The sequence below is a fragment of the Homo sapiens genome, chromosome 2 (genome assembly GCF_000001405.40).
Source record: "Homo sapiens chromosome 2, GRCh38.p14 Primary Assembly".
Lineage (NCBI taxonomy): Eukaryota > Metazoa > Chordata > Mammalia > Primates > Hominidae > Homo > Homo sapiens.
Window position 1 is genome coordinate 3430215 of NC_000002.12, and position 18223 is coordinate 3448437.

The following is an 18223-nucleotide window of genomic DNA, read 5'->3' on the forward strand; positions in this document are numbered from 1 at the left end:
TGGTGTTATGGGCATCCTTGTACATTTCCCTTTGTACATGTTCAGGCGTTTCTCTGAGCTGTAAATTTAAAGTGGCATATGTGAGAGTGACCATGCTAATTTCCACTCCCAGCCACAGCCTGTCAGTTTGTTTCCCCACTCTTGTGTAACTAAAGATTGTCAGACTTTCACCAGTGAGTCTAAAATTCTACCTCCTGTCGCAACTGACGTCTTTCTGATTTCTGCCGAATTATGTGTCCTTTGTCTGTCGGAGTCTCCTCTTTGGTGACTCACTCTTTCATAATCTTGGCCTGTATTTCTATTGGGTTATCTTTGTTATTAATTGGTTGAGGTTCATTCTATATAGCAGGTATTTAATCCTTCATCTGTTTTGTATTTGGGAAATATTAATATCTTCTCCCATTCTGGGAAATACTATTTTCAACCCTGAAAAAATAATTCTAGTTTAAAAATACAAACATAACCTTTTTTGTTCGCAACATGACATGTTTTAGGAGTATCTTCTTTATTCCACATACTGTTATATCAGGAATAATAAATGCAAAGAAATCATGCCTATGTCATTGCCAAGTAGGCTGAGACAAGTAAAGACATTTACCAGACAGCTTTCCAAAACGTTTCCTAAGGGAGCTGCTGCACACTGTTGCTGGGACCTTCCGCTGGGTGTGGGAGGAGCTCTGCACACTGTTGCTGGGACCGTCCACTGGGTGTGGAGGAGCTCTGCACACTGTTGTTGGGACCATCCACTGGGTGTGAAGGAGCTCTGCACGCTGTTGCTGGGACCGTCCGCTGGGTGTGGAGGAGCTCTGGGAGATGCGGTGTTGGGAAGAGAGTCTACACAGTTGCTGACTTGCAGCTCTTCACCTGGAGCTTCCAAGAGCTCTGAGGCAGGCCCGCAGAGCCCCTCGTGCACACTTGTCAAAGATGCTCTCTCTCCTGGCATACCCTTGAGGCCCTAGGCCACCTGCTGCCCTCGCCGTCTTCCATCGAGTACAGTGGGATGCACTTAACGTGAGTGCTCCCGGGATCTCATCCCACAGAGTCTTTGGCCCTGTAGACAGACAGTCTCTGTAATCTTGTAATCTCCCCACAGCACAGCCGTCTGCCTTCACTGGCACCTCAGCATCTGCAGGGAGCATCCCGGTCCCAGGAAACATCATCCAGCCCAGAGGGCGGCAGGGTCGCCGTCGCCATGGATGCCAGCCTTTACCCAGCACTAAAAGTATTTTTGTTTTTGTTTGTCTTAAATGTTGATAACTTCATAATAACTATTTACGTTAGGGCTTTAAAATACCTTTCCAAAATCCTACAAAGTTTCTCTTTTGAGAGCCATTCTTCAGATCCCTGTACTAGCCTTCTTTCTTTAATTTTCTTTTAGATTTTTTTTTTTATTTTTTAAATTGTTACACTAGTGCAGATTGTTTCTCCCATTATAGGGTTTGCAGTCATGAAAAGTGTTGATAGGGATTATATCCATGAAAATATTTCTAGAACATTCATTCATTTTATATTAACAGCTTGCATTGGTGTGGTACATTTGTTACAATTGATGAACCAGTATTGGTACAGCATTATTAACAAATGTTTATAGTTTACACTTGGGTTCACTCTTGTGTTGTACATATTCACTATGTTAAAGAAAATTAAATGTCCATTCCTGACAAGTTTAATTTCATCCTCTCTCAGGCAGTTAAATTTTTCCAGACCCCCACCACCATCTTTTTAATCTGTTGTTTGGAATTACCCCTCTCGTTCCAAAGAAACATTCACAATGGCAGTGAGCATGTAAACTTTCATAGTGCTTTGAATTTTTAAAGTACCACATTCTGCATTAGATTGCTCACTTCAAGTTTCCATGCAACTAGAGGGAAAATAGGAGCCCAAAAGATCTTCCCGCTGGAAATAAAGCAGCTTGATTATCTTCACTATGCAGTTTAAGAAGTATAGTGCTGCTTCTAATACTAAATTCAGATCTGCATGTTTAGACTAAGTTACAAGAGCTGTAATGACGTCACAGGAAATGGTACTTCAGAACTTAATCCGTGCGGATTACCATCAGGTCAAATTAAAGTGGATGGGGCAAACACTTCCATTAATCGGATGCCGAATCTCTCTACTCTTCCATCAGCTGTCTGCTCCTCTATGTGCATAAAGGCACACTGTCACTGGATCTTTCTTCCTTTTTCATCCTCCCTCCAAAATCATGAAATTCACATTTTGAGTTCTCAAATTAAATTCTGAAACTTTTTTTTATCAACACATAACCATATGTGATATCTCAGAATTAAATATTCAGCATGTTTCCAGTGTCGGATTTTATTTTTCATGACAAAATTACCTCACCTTGCAGAGTGACCACGTTCTGCTTTAGATTTCCAGGTCACAATGCTTTGCATCAGAACTCCCGAGCGTTGATGGTTGGACATGTGATCGCTGCTTTATTTGTTCGGAGAAGGCTCGTTAGTTCATCTTACTGCTTTTCACTTTGCCCACCGTTTTTATGAAATCTGGCATTTTCAGTCTTTTCTTAGAACAAACTACTAAAAATAGGGGAATTTTCAGTTTGGGGTTCCGTATCTACCATGAGAACACCCAAATGGAGACCTCTCCTTATCCTGTCTGCACAAGATACAGGCCTTGGCCAGTCACTGGGCTGTAGCTGAAGCCACACGTGGATTGCACATGACTGTGGCAGACGCGTACAGAGGCAGTGACCCAAGCCTCAGTTTGTCTTCATGCTTCAGGGCTTTAGTTAAGCAAATCATTTAAATAAGAAATATTTAAGGTATTTTTTTCTCTTAGGACTTTCTCACTGTTTTTGTGTTTGGTTTGTTTTGTTTTGTTTTTAATTTACAATGCCACATTAAAGTCAAAAATGACTTGTTGAGAGCTGTAAGTGTGACACTGTGTGCTTGGCCGGGCACAGACACCAAGCAGTATCCCCAGCGTTGAGCACAGGCAAACCAAAGGCATGGCTTATCCTGCCTGCTGAGGTCAGGATAGGGAAGGACACACCCAGACAGGCAGAGACAGTGGGAAATAAATACAAAGCAGTCTTCCCAGCAAAGCACTCGCGTAACTTGAAAATGAGACGGAAATGCCAGGGCAAACTTGTAAGTTTGTGCCTTACTGAAGAAAGCTGTTAAAATTGGGCAAAGGGTCTGGAAGGCTCCCGCAGACCCTTCTGTGAGGCAGGTGGCACAGGCGTCCAGGCATCATGTCACACCTGCTGCGGCCTCACGGCAACCTAGCTGCCTCTGGGCCCTCCCGCCCTAGTTTGCAGTGACACAGAAGGCTGCAGAGAGGATGTGAGCCACCCAGCACAAACAGCTAGTGAGTGGCGGAAGGTAGCATACCCCACTGAAGGGAAGCTGAAATGTCATCTTTGTTCCCTTTCATTTTTCACTGCCCAGCACCAAGGCCCGGGCAATTCCTGGCACATTTCTCTTTTCTATAGTGGCAGCACGGATTTTCAGCACAACAAGGGACGGTCTGAAATAAATTTTGTAGGAGTATTTTCATTTAATGTTTTCTAAATGATGAATGAGAACACTTCTACAGTATTTATACCAACCTAGATTTTGGCAGGTCACAACTATACATGGGAATCTTCCGGAAAAATAGATCCACTAGGAATTGTTTTTCCTTACAGATTTTGACTAGCTTCTCCTTTTTTTTTCCTTTCCAATGCTCTTTCTCCCTGCAGGAGAGAGACGGGCCTCAGGGCTGGTGTGGAAGCCTTGCATATTTTATCTCGCTTGACAACCACCCTCAGCATGGAGGATTTCAGTGAGATTCCCAGGGTAGCTCTTCAGAGACAGGGGCTAGGTTTGGCCACTGAGAGAATCAGCTTAAAGGTATTTTTATGTGCATTTACTTAAGAACAAAAGTATGAATTACACCAAAGCAGCTTCTGTATGCATCTTGTTGAAGAGGGGAGTAGTTTCCTTGAGGACACGGACCTCGTGGCTGTCATTGTGTGCACCCAGTGCAGGCCCTCCTGCGCAGCGCTAGGAGCTGCTGAGTAAATGTCAGCTCAGTGAAATTCACACACCTTACCTGGAGCTCACAGATGGTTTCTCCAGCTGCTTCCATTTATTGTTTTAATTCTGTGATCTATATATTTTTTCTAGGAAGGGGTGTTTTTCTTTCTGATTTAATTCCCTACATTTTTCTCTTTCATATGAAGTTGCAGATAATGTTTTTCCTTCGGATTTTTATTCTTTAAGATTTTTAACCTGTGCAAGACTTTTTCAATGATACAAGTCAAGGAGGATGAAGATCTTTTTCCACTTCAGTCTTCACTTTGCTCCAGCTATTGCTAAGAAAGGCACAAACAATGACAGCATATTTAAGGAAGAACCTGGCCGGCTTGGGTCACCGCTGCTGTCTTTCTTGGTTTTGCGTCTACCTGGGAGAGCCCAGCTTTTAGGTTCCCATTGAGGGAAGCATGAGAGAGGATTGTTTGGGGGATGCTGCCAGAGCTTCCAGCTGACAGTCTCTGCAGAGCGGCTGCCAAGTGGCCTGGTGGCCGTATGTTGGCAGTTTTTGATGAATTGGGATTAGGGAATGTTTGTTTACTTGATAACCGAGTGTCTACAAGGAGAGGTGGCAGCGTGAGGGAATAGTGCCACCATAATGAGGACACAGCCAGCCATCTCTTCCCTGCCACAGAACCCCAGGCAGTCCCCTTCAGGCTACAGTTTTCCATCTGGACCGAGGGACTGGCCGGTGCAGCAGGAGGAGCCGATCACCCTCTGTGGCAACGAGGATGCCCAGAAGTTCCAGTTACTGTGGTTTGTATGTTCTTCTTTTTGAGATGGAGTCTCGCTCCGTCGCCCAGGCTAGAGTGCAGTGGTGCGATCTCGGCTCACTGCAATGTCCACCTCCCACATTCAAGCAGTTCTCCTGCCTCAGCCTCCCGAGTAGCTGAGATTATAGGCGCATGCCACCACGCCCAGCTAATATTTGTATTTTTAGTAGAGACGGGGTTTTCGCCATGTTGGCCAGGCTGGTCTCTAACTTCCAGCCTCAAGTGATCTGCCCGCCTCAGCCTCCCAAAGTGCTGGGATTACAGGCGTGAGCCACCGCGCCCAGCTGAGTTACTGTTAACTGTTACTGGGGGGGCAGGGGAATGGCTCATTAACATTTTTTTAAATAACATTAACATTTTTAAAATGTTAAAATTTAATTCTGAAAGAATTTTGCTACATTAGCGCTAGTTTTAATTGTGATTTTATTCAATATGTCCCCCAAATGTAAGGAAGAAATTGGTACATTTTGTTCACAAAAATATCCTCCCCACCTCCCAAAAGCAGTAGAAATGGGAGTGCCATAGCACGGGGGAGATTTGAAAAGAGCCCGGAAGTTGGGTTTGTTGGAGGAGGAGGATCTGAGCACAGCTCAGCTCCACCTGCTCCAGCAGCGCAGAGTCCACGAGTACAAGCAGGTGTTTGGTCCCCAAGGCCTCACAGAAGTTCAGGCAGAATTTCATCACTTTCTTTTCCCTTAACCCCCATTTAGGTTTTAAACGCCTGTGTGGTTTTTAAAAGGGTAGAAGTAGCAAGGAAACAATATATATCTAATGAGGGACATTTTCCTGTGTGATATGTAATGAATGCACTATATGTAGTACTAATTACCTGTTATAATGAAGGCACTGTATAGTACCGATTACCTGTTTTAATTTGATCCTAAGGAAGGTCAATGTGCATTTTGAGGCATTATAAAAATATAGTTGATATTACCTGATAACCTTTGAGTTAGCGAATTTTAATTTCACATCAGTAAGGTACTGTTTTAGAGCAGTGCTTCTCCATCTCAGCATGCACAGGAGTCACCCAGCCTCTTGTGGAGGGCAGGCCCTGATGCAGCAGGTCTGGGCAGGGCCTGAGACTCTGAAGTTCTAACAAGGGCACAGGTGATAAGACTGCAGCTGGTCAGAATGTACCTTTAATCAAGTATTAATATTACTCTTTCAGCTACAGCTGGCCACTATATTTAATAGTATTTCTGAGAAAAAAAATACATATTTTAAGTCTCAATTTGAGATCCCAAGAACACAGTCCTTCACCCCAAAGAAATGGATCTGATTTTATCTTTTTTCATGTGGCAATCCCCATATCTGAACCATGCTCATTAAAAACTCCATTTTCCATCTAATACCTTGGAGACACCATCTTTATTGTATACTAAAGAATATATGTATTCCCTTTTTGTAATTTACAGAAAAATCGAGTAGAGAGTTCTATATACCCTCTTTTCTTCTGCACAGTTTTTAATAACATCTTGCATTTTTATTATTAATAAGTATAAAAATTTTGCATTAGCGTAGAACTTTTATTATAATTGATAAACCAATAGCGGTACATTGTTGTTAAAGTACATAGTTTACCTTAGGGCTCACTCTTGGTGTTGTCCCTTCTGTGGGTTTCAACAAATTAATGGCGTTGCGTGTTCATTGTACTGTCATGCCGAATAGTTTCACTGCCCTGTGTATTAATCCCCCCACCACCCCTGGATTAATACCCCCATCACCCCTGGATTAATCTCCCCACTACCCCTGGATTAATACCCCATCACCCCTGAATTAATCCCCCCATCACCCCAGGATTAATACCCCATCACCCCAGGATTAATACCCCATCACCCCTGGATTAATCTCCCCACCACCCCTGGATTAATCTCCCCACCACCCCTGGATTAATCCCCCCACCACCCCTGGATTAATCCCCCAATCACCCCTGGATTAATCCCCCAATCACCCCTGGATTAATCCCCCCATCAGCCCTGGATTAATACCCCATCACCCCAGGATTAATACCCCATCACCCCTGAATTAATCCCCCCACCACCCCTGGATTAATCCCCCAATCACCCCTGGATTAATCCCCCCATCAGCCCTGGATTAATACCCCATCACCCCAGGATTAATACCCCATCACCCCTGAATTAATCCCCCCACCACCCCTGGATTAATCCCCCAATCACCCCTGGATTAATCCCCCCATCACCCCTGGATTAATGCCCCATCACCCCTGGATTAATCCCCCAATCACCCCTGGATTAATCCCCCCATCACCCCTGGATTAATACCCCATCACCCCTGAATTAATCCCCCCACCACCCCTGGATTAATCCCCCAATCACCCCTGGATTAATCCCCCCATCACCCCTGGATTAATACCCCATCACCCCTGAATTAATCCCCCCACCACCCCTGGATTAATCCCCCAATCACCCCTGGATTAATCCCCCCATCACCCCTGGATTAATACCCCATCACCCCTGGATTAATACCCCATCACCCCTGGATTAATCCCCCCACCACCCCTGGATTAATCCCCCAATCACCCCTGGATTAATCCCCCCATCACCCCAGGATTAATACCCCATCACCCCAGGATTAATCCCCCAATCACCCCTGGATTAATCCCCCCATCACCCCTGGATTAATACCCCATCACCCCTGGATTAATCCCCCCATCACCCCTGGATTAATCCCCCAATCACCCCTGGATTAATCCCCCCATCACCCCTGGATTAATACCCCATCACCCCTGGATTAATCCCCCAATCACCCCTGGATTAATCCCCCCATCACCCCTGGATTAATACCCCATCACCCCTGGATTAATCCCCCCATCACCCCTGGATTAATCCCCCATCACCCCTGGATTAATACCCCATCACCCCTGGATTAATCCCCCCACCACCCCTGGATTAATCCCCCAATCACCCCTGGATTAATCCCCCCATCACCCCAGGATTAATACCCCATCACCCCAGGATTAATACCCCATCACCCCTGGATTAATCCCCCCATCACCCCTGGATTAATCCCCCAATCACCCCTGGATTAATCCCCCCATCACCCCAGGATTAATACCCCATCACCCCAGGATTAATACCCCATCACCCCTGGATTAATCCCCCCACCACCCCTGGATTAATCCCCCAATCACCCCTGGATTAATCCCCACCACCCCTGGATTCATCCCCCACCACCCCTGGATTCATCCCCCCATCAGCCCTGGATTAGTACTTCCACCCCTGGATAAATCCCCCCACCATCCCTGGATTAACCCCCATCACCCCTGGATTAGCCCCCATCACCCCTGGGTTAGCCCCCATCACCCCTGGATTAATACTTCCACCCCTGGATTGATCCCCCATCACCCCTGGATTAATCCCCCATCACGCCTGGATTAATACACCCACTACCTCTGGATTAACCCCCATCACCCCTGGATTAATACCCCCACCAGCCCTGGATTAATCCCCCGCCACCCCTGGATCAATCCCCCCAATCCCCCTGGGTTAATCCCCACCACCCGTGGATTGATCCCCCCTCACCCCTGGATTAATCCCCCCATCCCCCTGGGTTAATCCCCCATCACCCCTGGGAGCTTGGAGTCTTTCCATTGTCTCCATAGTTTCCCCTTTTCCAAAGGTCTTATAGTTGGAATCATACAGTATGTGGTCCTCAGATTGGCTTCGTTCACTTAGGAATGTGCATTTAGGGTTCCGCTGTCTTTTTCTGCTTGATAGTACGTTTCTTATCTCTGAATAATATTCCATTTTATGTATATACCATAGCTTATTTATCCATTTCTCTGTTGAAGAACATCTTGGTTGCTTCTGGTTTTTGACAATTATGAATAAAGCTACTATAAACATTCTTTTTCAGGGTTTTGTGTAGATACAAGTTTTATCACCTTTATCAGTTCCAATCCTTGGGTAAATCTCTAGGACTGTGATTGCTGGATCTTATGGTAAAAGTATTCTTAGCCTTGTAAATATCTGCCAAGCATCTTCCAAAACTTTCATACTATTTTGCTTTCCTAAGAGCAATCAATGAGAGTTCCTATTGATTCACATCCTCAGCCAGCTTTTGGTATTGTCATTTTTTGGATTTTTCGCTATTCTGATAGGTGTGTAGTGTTACCTCATTGTTTTAATTTGCAGTTCCCTAATGACATATGATGATGAGCATCTTTTTATATGCTTGTTATTGATAAATCTTTATTGGTGATATGTCTGTTCAGATCTGTTGCCCATTTATTAATTGGGTTGTTTTCTCATTGTCTGTTTTTTGGAGACAGAGTCTCACTTTGTCACCCAGGCTGGAGTCCAGTGGTGCAGTTATGGCCCACTGCAGCCTCAAGCCCCTGGGCTTAAGCAGCCTTCCCACCTCAACCAATGGAGTAGCTAGGACTGTAGGCACACCTGGCTAGTTTTTGTATTTTTTGTAGAAACAAAAAAAAGCGATCAGCTCGCCTCAGCCTCCCCGCGTGCTGGGATCCCAGGCATCAGCCACCATACCTGGCCTGTTGTTGATTTTTAAGAATTCTTCATATATGTTGAATACAAGTTCTTTATCAGATAGGTGTTTTACAGCTATTTTCTTCCTATCTGTGACTTGTCTCTTCATTACTTTAATACTACGTTGGACAGAGCATACGTGTTTAATTTTAATGAAGTCCAACTTACTGATTTTTTTCTTTCATGGATGGTGTTTTTGGTGTTGTATCTAAAAGATTATCAGCAAACCCAGGTCACTCAGATTTTCATCTGTGTTCTGTTCTAGAAGTTGTATAGTTTTTGCACTTTACATGTAGTCTGTTATTGGAGTTCATTTTGGGGTAAGATGTAAGATCTGTGTCTAGATTCATTTTTTTTTTTTCATGTGGACGTCCAGTTGTCCCAGCACCATTTTTGGAAAAACCTGTCCTTTCTCCATTGAATTACCTTTATTCCTTTGTCAGAGATCAAACTGACTATATTTGTGAGGACCAATTTCTTGTCTTTCTGCTCTGGGCCACTGATCTATTTGTCCGTTCTTTTTCTAGGACCACACAGTCACCCAGTCTTTTTTACAGTAGCTTTAGAGTAGCTCTGTAAGGTGGGTAGTGTCAGCCTGCCAGATTTGCTCTCTTTGATATTGTGTTGGATGTTCTGGGTGTTTTCCTTCTCCATATTAACTTCAGAATCATTTTGTTGATAACCACAAAATAATTTGCTGAGATTTTGATTGGGGCTGCATCGAATCTGTAGGTCAAGTTGTAAAGAACTGATATTTTAGCAGTATTGTCTTCCTGTCCATGAATGTGGAATATCTCTTGATTTCTTCAGCTCTGTGAATTTTTTCATCAGAGTTTTATAGTTTTCTTCCTATAGCTCTTGTGCATATTTTGTCCATTTTATACGTGGGTATTTCACTTATTTATGTAGAAATGATAGTGTGTTTTTAATTTCAAATTCCCATCATTTATTGCTAGTATCTAGGAAGCCAGTTGACTTTTGCATATTGATCTTGTATCCTGTGACTTTTAATCACTTCCTAGTTTAGAAGTGTTTTTGTTCTTTGAGATTGTTCTTTATAATTATGTCATTGCAAACAAGTAGTTTTATTTCCTTCTTCCCAGTCTGTGTACCTTTGGTTTTCTTGTCATTGCATTAGCTCGAACTTCCAGTACAATGTTCAGTAGAAGAGATAAGAGGGAACATTGTTGCTTTATTCATGATCTTAGGGGGAAGTCACTGAGTTTCTCACTCTTAAGTTTGTTGTTAGCTGCAGTTGTTTTGTAGATGTCCTTTATTAAGTTGAGGAAGTTTCCCTCTATTCCTAGTTGGCTGAGAGTTTTTATCACGAGCTGGTGCTGGATTTTGTTAAATGCTTTTCTACATCTATTGATATGATTTTTGTTCTTTAGCCTGTTTGATGTGGTAGATTATGTTAATTGATTTTGGAATGTTAGATCACCCCTGCATACCTGGAATAAATTCTGTCTGGTCATGGTTCATAATTCTTTTTATACATTGTTGGATTTGGTTGCTAATTTTTTGTTGACTTCAGTTTTCTTAGATTTAGTTTGCTAATTTTGTTGAAGATTTTTGCATTTATGTTCATGAGACATATTGGTCTACAGTTTTTTTTTCTTGTAACGTCTTTGTCTGGTTTTGGTATTAGGGTAATGCCAGACTCATATAAGAAGTTAGAAAGCGTTCCTCTGCTTCTGTTTTCTGAAAGAGATTGTAGAGAACTGGTAGCATTTCTTCCATAAATGTTAGGTGGAATTCACAGTGAGACCATCTGGGTCTGGGGCTTGCTTTTTGGAAAGGTTTTTCTTTTTCTATCCAAGTTACCAAATGTATGGACATAGAGCTGTTCATAATATTCCTTTACTATTCTTTTACTGTTCATAGGATCCATAGTAATAGTCCTTCACTTCTAGTACTAGTTGTTTATGTCTTCTCTGTTTTTTGACTAGCCTGGGGAGAGACTTATTGGTCTTGTCAGAGTTTTATTGGTCTTGTCAAAGAATATGTTTTTGGTTTGGTTGATTTTGTCTATTGATTTCCTGTTTTCAGTTTCACTGATTTCTGCTCTAATTTTTATTATTATATTTTTATTATTTTCTTATTATAATACAATAATATTTTTATTATTTTCTTATAATAAAATATTTTATTTTCTTATAATAAAATAATATTTTTATTATTTTCTTCTCTACTGCTTACTTTAGGCTTATATTGCTCTTTCTTTCCTTCTAGTTTTCAAAGGTGAAGCTGGTTTCAGATCTTTCTTTTCCAATATATGCATTTAATGCTAAAAAGCTTCCTCTCAGCACTGCTTTTGCTGCATCCCACAAATTTTGATAAGTTGTATTTTTATTTTCACTTAGTTCAAAATATTTTCACATGTGCTTTTACATCCAGAAGCACCCCCATGTCCATGGGCAGTTGTCAGGATAAGGGGCAGCTAACTTTCTGCCACCTTCTCAGGTGAAGTGGCAGGAGTCACACAGCCTGTTTTCTCACCATCCACCAAACTGTATTCCAGATCGGAGTATTAACAGCTAGTCTATAAATTGAGATCGGAGTATTAACAGCTAGTCTGTACGTTGAGATCGGAGTATTAACAGCTAGTCTGTACGTTGAGATCGGAGTATTAACAGCTAGTCTGTAAACTGAGATCGGAGTATTAACAGCTAGTCCCAAGTTGGGTTTGAGAACTTCCAGTAGAGGTTTGTTTCTGTGCTTATCTTATAGAGCTTGAAGGGTTCTTGAGATATTCTCTCCCTTGTGGTAAGTGATAAACCACACAGGAGTGATTCTGGCCCCTTCTCTACTTGAGACAGAAGGATGGAAGTGACGTGGCTTACATATAACTTACCATGTTGGGCCGGTTCCACAGTGACATGACTTACATATGACTTAATTGTAGGCCAGTCCCCTGTGTCATTATGCGGATGGTCTAGAAATGTTTATTTCTAGAAAACCGAAGTGACTCAGGCTGTAACTTAAGCTCGGCCAGATATTCTCTTGAGATACAGAAATTATTTAGTGGCATCAAAAAAGAAAGTTTAAACATTTTAAGTTCAATAATTGTTACCTTTCTTTTCTCCAGGCTTATAATCACAATAGAACTGTTTTCCATAGTGTTCCTTAATTTTGACTGTCTTCTTTTTGGACCTTTGTTATTAAAGACCATAAACATAAAGCTCATTTCAGTGTGGTCACGGCCCATTCTCAGTAATGGTTAATGAATAGACAGATGGATGCATTGAGGCACAGATACATTAAGTGGCTTGCAGAAGTCATACGCGTGTTTTCTCACCATCTTTCAGACTATATTCCAGATCCGAATATTCATCGCTTAGGCCTATTTTGAAAAGCACTTTACTGAATCTATGTGATTGCCCTCTGGCATTTCTCTATTCTTTATCTCATTTATAATCAGTGCACGCTATTTGATTTTTTGATGATTGTTATCTACTTAGTATACATACTACAGATCAAATTCCAAATCCTATTAGAAGAGAACACAATATTAACAAAAAGTTGACCTTACCCTGAGAGATGATGCAGCCACAGGTGATACGATATAAAGGGGGTTTCTCCTGAGCTTCTTCCTCTTCTTAGCGCACGCAAAGCCAGGCAGCTCTGGGTGATGGATTTTTCAAGTCCAGCTCCCTTGCCTCCTGTCAGAGGTGGAACGCAGGCTCCAGGGCCACATGGAATCCAGTGGGAGGCCCATCCCCAGGGCCGAGGCCTGAGACGCACCTGTGCTCAGTTTCGCCTCCTCCCCACTGGTTTTCCCGGGAGCACTTCCGGAACCACTGGCTGGCTTACGGCTTCTCCCTTCAGGGTCTCCTTCTGGGGAACCCAAGCTAAGCAACCTACCATTCGAGCTTGCTAAACTAAAGAAATATTAAAGAATATCTGAGCATTCTGGTTTTTCTTTTATTGGAGGAGGGGTTGGCGGTCTCTACTGTTTCATTCATTTTGGGATCATTTCTAAATGATTGCAGTGTAGCTTTGGAAATTGTGGTGTCATCCACCTGTCTCCTCTGATAATTGTCGAGACATACATACATAGAGCTCCATAGAGAAAACCAGCATGTATTTTATAGTTGACACCGTTAAATACTTCACAAGAAATAAAGGGATCTGTCATCACTTCTGCTGGGACATCTGCGACGCCTCCTTCAAGTGTGCCAAGTATGAATGCGTGCTCAGTTATGGCAAACAAACTCACTCAGCACTGATTGGATTCCAGGCTCCATGGTCCCCTTCTCGATGCGCATCTTGCACGCGGAGCTTCAGCAGTACCTGGGGAACCCACAGGAGTCGCTGGATAGACTGCACAAGGTGAAGACTGTCTGCAGCAAGGTAGGTGGCGCTGTCATTCTTCCCTGCCACGGGGAGAACATGCCCTCCACGCCCTCCCCACAGGACATGCCCGTGCTGTTCCCTGCCCGTCCTGCCCCATGCACCATCGCTGCTTCTGCCTTCAGAAGGCTAGGTGACCCGGTTTGTGTGGCCTGGTAGTCGTGTCTCTTGCTGAAATCTTTTTTAGGGATGGTAAGAGTTTCTAGCAGAGCTTGAGTCCTGTAATTCTTACTGCCTGGTACTATGGGAAGCTGAAAGGCAGAGACATCTTTCTTGCCAAGGCTGCCAGCTGAAGCTTCAAGGTCAGTGTGCCAGACCACCCCTGTGTCCCACAAGTGCCCACACGCACCTGCCACGTGCAGACAGAGGTACCGGAGCAGTACTGAAAGCAATCATGGTTTAAGCTTTCAAATCCAAGTAAGTGCTTCTGCATTATGGCAACTGTCACTCATGATCCTGACTGCAAAGGCAGAGTCGGAGTGTTTTCGGACTCATTCTTGGTTGTGAAGTCACAGTTAATGTGGGAGCCACCAAAGTGGCACGTTATTACACTAACTGACATTGGGAAGAAATGTGGGACTCAGAGACTTTGCTGTCTACAGGTTGTTATAGAGTATTCATCTCAGATTAGGAATGATCCTGCCTTTCTACCCACGTCACAGTGTTCCTGTATAGGTTCAGTGACATAAGGTATGCGGAAGTACTTTGAAAACTACAACAACAAGCAGTTATTAGGAGCAGCAGCATATTATAATTTTTGGGAAAACTAAGATTCTTCTTGTCAGATTCCTCCTTTCACTTCCTAACTGTTGTGGTAGAAGTTTTGCGGAGTTCCAAGATGATGGTGTTAACAGTGTTCCTAGTAAGGAAGGAAGGGGCCCTCTTTATCCTTATCTGTGGAGAAAAAACAGGCGTTTCTAGGCCCCTTGTTGTCCTGGGCTTTGTACCCACTTCCATTTTTTTATTACCATAACTTAAAAGATAAAAAGAAAAATTGTTTGCTTTCTGTACTATATCAGTTGATGGAGAATCATGTTACCAACTTTTTTACATTTCAACACTTTTCTTGAATCTTAAAACGGGGTTTAATTTTATTTACAGAAATCGGAAGCACATAACTTGAAATTGAGAAGTTCTAAATCAGTGACTTTCTAAACTATACGAATTTTTCATTATCCTCCATGTCACATTGTAGGAAATCTTTATAGTATTTGAGAGAGAAAATTCTGGGCCATAGGGTGATTTGTGGATGGAAAAGCCAAGTTAGTTGAAGTAGTTTTGCAAGTCAGCTTTCCTGGTCCTGTTATGTCCTATTTCAGAATTATGCTCCTTAAATGCATACTACAGGCTGGGTACAGGGGCTCATGCCTGTAATCCCAGCTACTTGGGAGGCTGAGGCATGAGAATCGCTTGAACCCAGGAGGCTGAGGTTGCAGTAAGCCGAGATCAAGCCACTGCACTCCAGTCTGGGCAACAGAGCAAGACTCTGTCTCAAAAAAAAAGAAAAACTGCATACTACAGTGTAACGATGAGAGGAGCCACTTAGCACTAGCTATGAAGCAGCAGGGACGGTGGAGCAGAGAGCAGGAGCTTCCCACACCGCTGCTCTGGGCACCTGCACTTACTCCACCTGACAGACACCTTTGTTGCATTCATTATGAGGCAGCCACTGCTCTGAGTTCCAATATTAACTCATTTAATCCTTATCACAACCCTATGAAGGAGATGTTATTATCCCAATTTACAGATGGGGAAACTGAGGCACAGATAGGTTAGGTAACTTAGGATCACATGAGTTGAACCCAAGTCATCTGGCTCTAAAGTCCATGCTCTTCATCACTTGCCTGGCTTCATCACTATAACATGTCCCGTTTGAAGACAGAAGGACCGAGAGTCCTCTCTTCCACCCTGCACCAGCATTTCTGCTCCAAGAAAGGACAGTGCTGTCCGGGGTCAACTGACATCTGCTCAGAAGACCCCTGTGCTGAATGGGGCCCTGCCCCTTCCCCCTGACTGATGCCTGGAGATGGGCTCGAGCCTGTGCTCTGCTGGGCTGGGCCCTCCTGAGACTCTTGAGGGGGCTTCCAAGCAACAGCAGTTGACAGCTAAGCATCGTAGGGTTGGGGAGAAACGAGAAGGGTTAGTGCAGTCACATCCTAGGAACGTTTCTCTCAGGCTGACTGGGCGTGGGGCCACCGTCAGTGAGAGAGCCACTCATGCTTCTCGTTCCCTCCGCTGGTCTACAGTTCCACCTGCCTCTCATCTTGTGAATACATAACCGCACTTCAGGTATCTCTCATGTTTAAAGATACATATCTTTTCCATGGCATGATCCAAATCTAAGCCAACACTCCTTATGGTACTTAAATGAGGAAATCGCAATTCGTTCTAATCCTGGAAGAAAAACAAGCAGTTGGATTTATGAAAAGGTGTGTGTTGGTCTTCACCTTAAAGGATTTTCACCGTTAATTTCAATATGTAATTACTATGTGTTCCTTTATGTGCTGACTTAAAATTTGACACCCTCTTGAGAGAGAGAGCTGCACTGTGGCACAGCTGGTGGATGCCTGGACCAAGAGGGAAAGACCCAGGGCATGACCATATAGTCAGCCTTGCCTGTCCGCCACCTTTGGCAGGAGAAGAAGCACCGTCGCCAACTTCCTCGCTCACTTCCTTGCACGTTAGGGGCTCATGGCCGCATGTGGGCATTCTTGACCTTTCTGCGGCTGGTTCAGTGTTGAACTGAAGCAGTTTTTATCTGGATGTGAACAGTGGGCACTGCGGGGACATGGAGCAATGCGTCTCCACGCTGTCCAGAACAGCTCTATCTGAGCTTGTTCATTTGTTCATGCAGCAAATGCCCTTTCAGCACCTACTGAGTACTGCACACTGGCAGTTCGGGACTCAACAGAACGCAGCCTCGCCCTCAGTGAGTTTACAGTTTGGTAGACGATGCTTGTTTCACCTGTTCCTTTTAGGTTTGCAGCCATCACCAATACATCATGATCCTCCAGAATTTAAAAAGGGACAGTTTGTGTTCATGCTAGAATTTCTTTACTCAAGAAGTGTGTATTAGTCCATCTGGCTTTGCCATAAAGGAATACCCGAGGGTGAGTCATTTATAAAGAAAAGGTTTATTTTGGCTCACAGTCCTGCAGGCTGTACAAGAAGCACAGTGTCAGCATCTGCTTCCAGTGAGGCCTCAGGAAGCTTTTTTTTTTTTTCTTGAAGCGGAGTCTCGTTCTGTCACCCAGGCTGGAGTGCAGTGGCGCTATTGGCTCACTGCAACCTCCACCTCCCAGGTTCAAGCGATTCTCCTGCCTTGCCTCCTGAGTAGCTAGGATTACAGGCGCCCATCACCACACCTGGCTAATTTTTCTATTTTTAGTAGAGACAGGGCTTCACCATGGTGGCCAGGCTAGCCTCAAACTCCTGACCTCAAATGATCCACCCGCCTTGGCCTCCCACAGTACTGGGATTACAGGCATGAGCCACTGCGCCTGGCCAGGAAGCTTTTAATCATAGTAGAAAGCAAAGGGGAAGCAAGTGTGTCACATGGTGAGAAAGACAGCGAGAGAGAAGAGGAGGAGGAGGGAGGCACCAGACTTTTTTTGACAATCAGATCCCAAGGTAACTAACAGAGCCAGAACTCATTCATTGCCATAGGGACGGTACCAAGCCACCCATGAGGGATCCACCCCCAGGACACAAACACCCCCCACCAGGCCCCACCTCCAACACTGGAGCTCACATTTCAACATGAGATTTGGAGGGGATGAATGTCCAAACTATATCATAGTGCAAAATCTAAAAATACTAAAAGCCAGCCCACCACTATTCTGCCGGTGTTGATTTGCTGGATTAAAGTGAACGGCTTGGTGTGGCCTTTGATCCCCTCTGCTCTCCACTGGTGAGTAAAGAGAGAGGTCAGACCAGAGACTCCAGGGTTCTCCAGCATGACATTCTGATTTTCCCAGACCTTCACAACTCCAGGAAATCCTCAGGAAGTCTTAAACTAAGGATGTGTTAGTGAGACCTCTCGGTCCGTGGACTGCCCTTTGCTGCATTGTTTAAAGTATTCACCACACCTGCCCCAAACCACACGCACACACACAGCTCTGCTCAGGACACGTGCTGTGTGTCCCAGCACTGAGGTGCAGTCACGTGTTAACGCTGCATGGATGTGTGAGGTGCTGAATGCATTATGTTGATTACCCCCTACTAATGCCCACAGCAGCTGCAAGTGATTTTATTATCCTCGGTTCCCAGATGAGGAAAGTGGCCTCAGGGAGGTGAAGTGTTCCCCAGACAACTGCAGTGAGGCAGCGATGGAGCCTGGCTGAGCCCCATCACACAGCTCCAGAAGCCTCACCCTTGAGCACCACTCTGCGGTTCTCTGTGAAATTAGACCATCAGGATTGTGGTTTTTTCCTCCAAATACAGACTTTTCTCTGATGCTTTGTAAAGCAGGGGCTCTAAAGTTTGGTCTTAAGCGTCACTTGAACAGTTCCAGAAATTTTAGCAATCTCTACTGCACTTGCTCCTG

General features: G+C 44.1%; 1 protein-coding gene across 14 annotated transcripts in view, besides 2 other annotated features; it reads left to right on the forward strand.

The window, feature by feature from the left end:
* The window catches only part of TRAPPC12 (trafficking protein particle complex subunit 12), a 99872-nt gene that overhangs the window by 50521 nt on the left and 31128 nt on the right, over positions 1 to 18223 (forward strand). For all 14 annotated transcript variants that reach the window (XR_426956.4, XR_007076381.1, XR_001738761.2 and 11 more), the window contains one exon: positions 13565 to 13677. Coding sequence is in view for 11 of the 14 variants with exons in the window: in NM_016030.6 (NP_057114.5) it covers positions 13565 to 13677 (113 nt within the window). In the remaining 3 variants the exon portion in view is untranslated. The remainder of the gene's footprint in view (positions 1 to 13564; positions 13678 to 18223) is intronic.
* Positions 423 to 923: an enhancer, noted in NCBI's record as "H3K4me1 hESC enhancer chr2:3434408-3434908 (GRCh37/hg19 assembly coordinates)". NCBI's record gives its function as "activates a minimal SCP1, AML or CMV promoter by ChIP-STARR-seq in naive H9 embryonic stem cells {active_cell/tissue: H9 hESC(naive)}" and the evidence as "EXISTENCE:reporter gene assay evidence [ECO:0000049][PMID:30033119]".
* Positions 3322 to 3572: a silencer, noted in NCBI's record as "fragment chr2:3437307-3437557 (GRCh37/hg19 assembly coordinates)". NCBI's record gives its function as "represses an EF-1alpha promoter that drives an FKBP-Casp9 reporter gene in an ReSE screen in K562 erythroleukemia cells {active_cell/tissue: K562}" and the evidence as "EXISTENCE:reporter gene assay evidence [ECO:0000049][PMID:32094911]".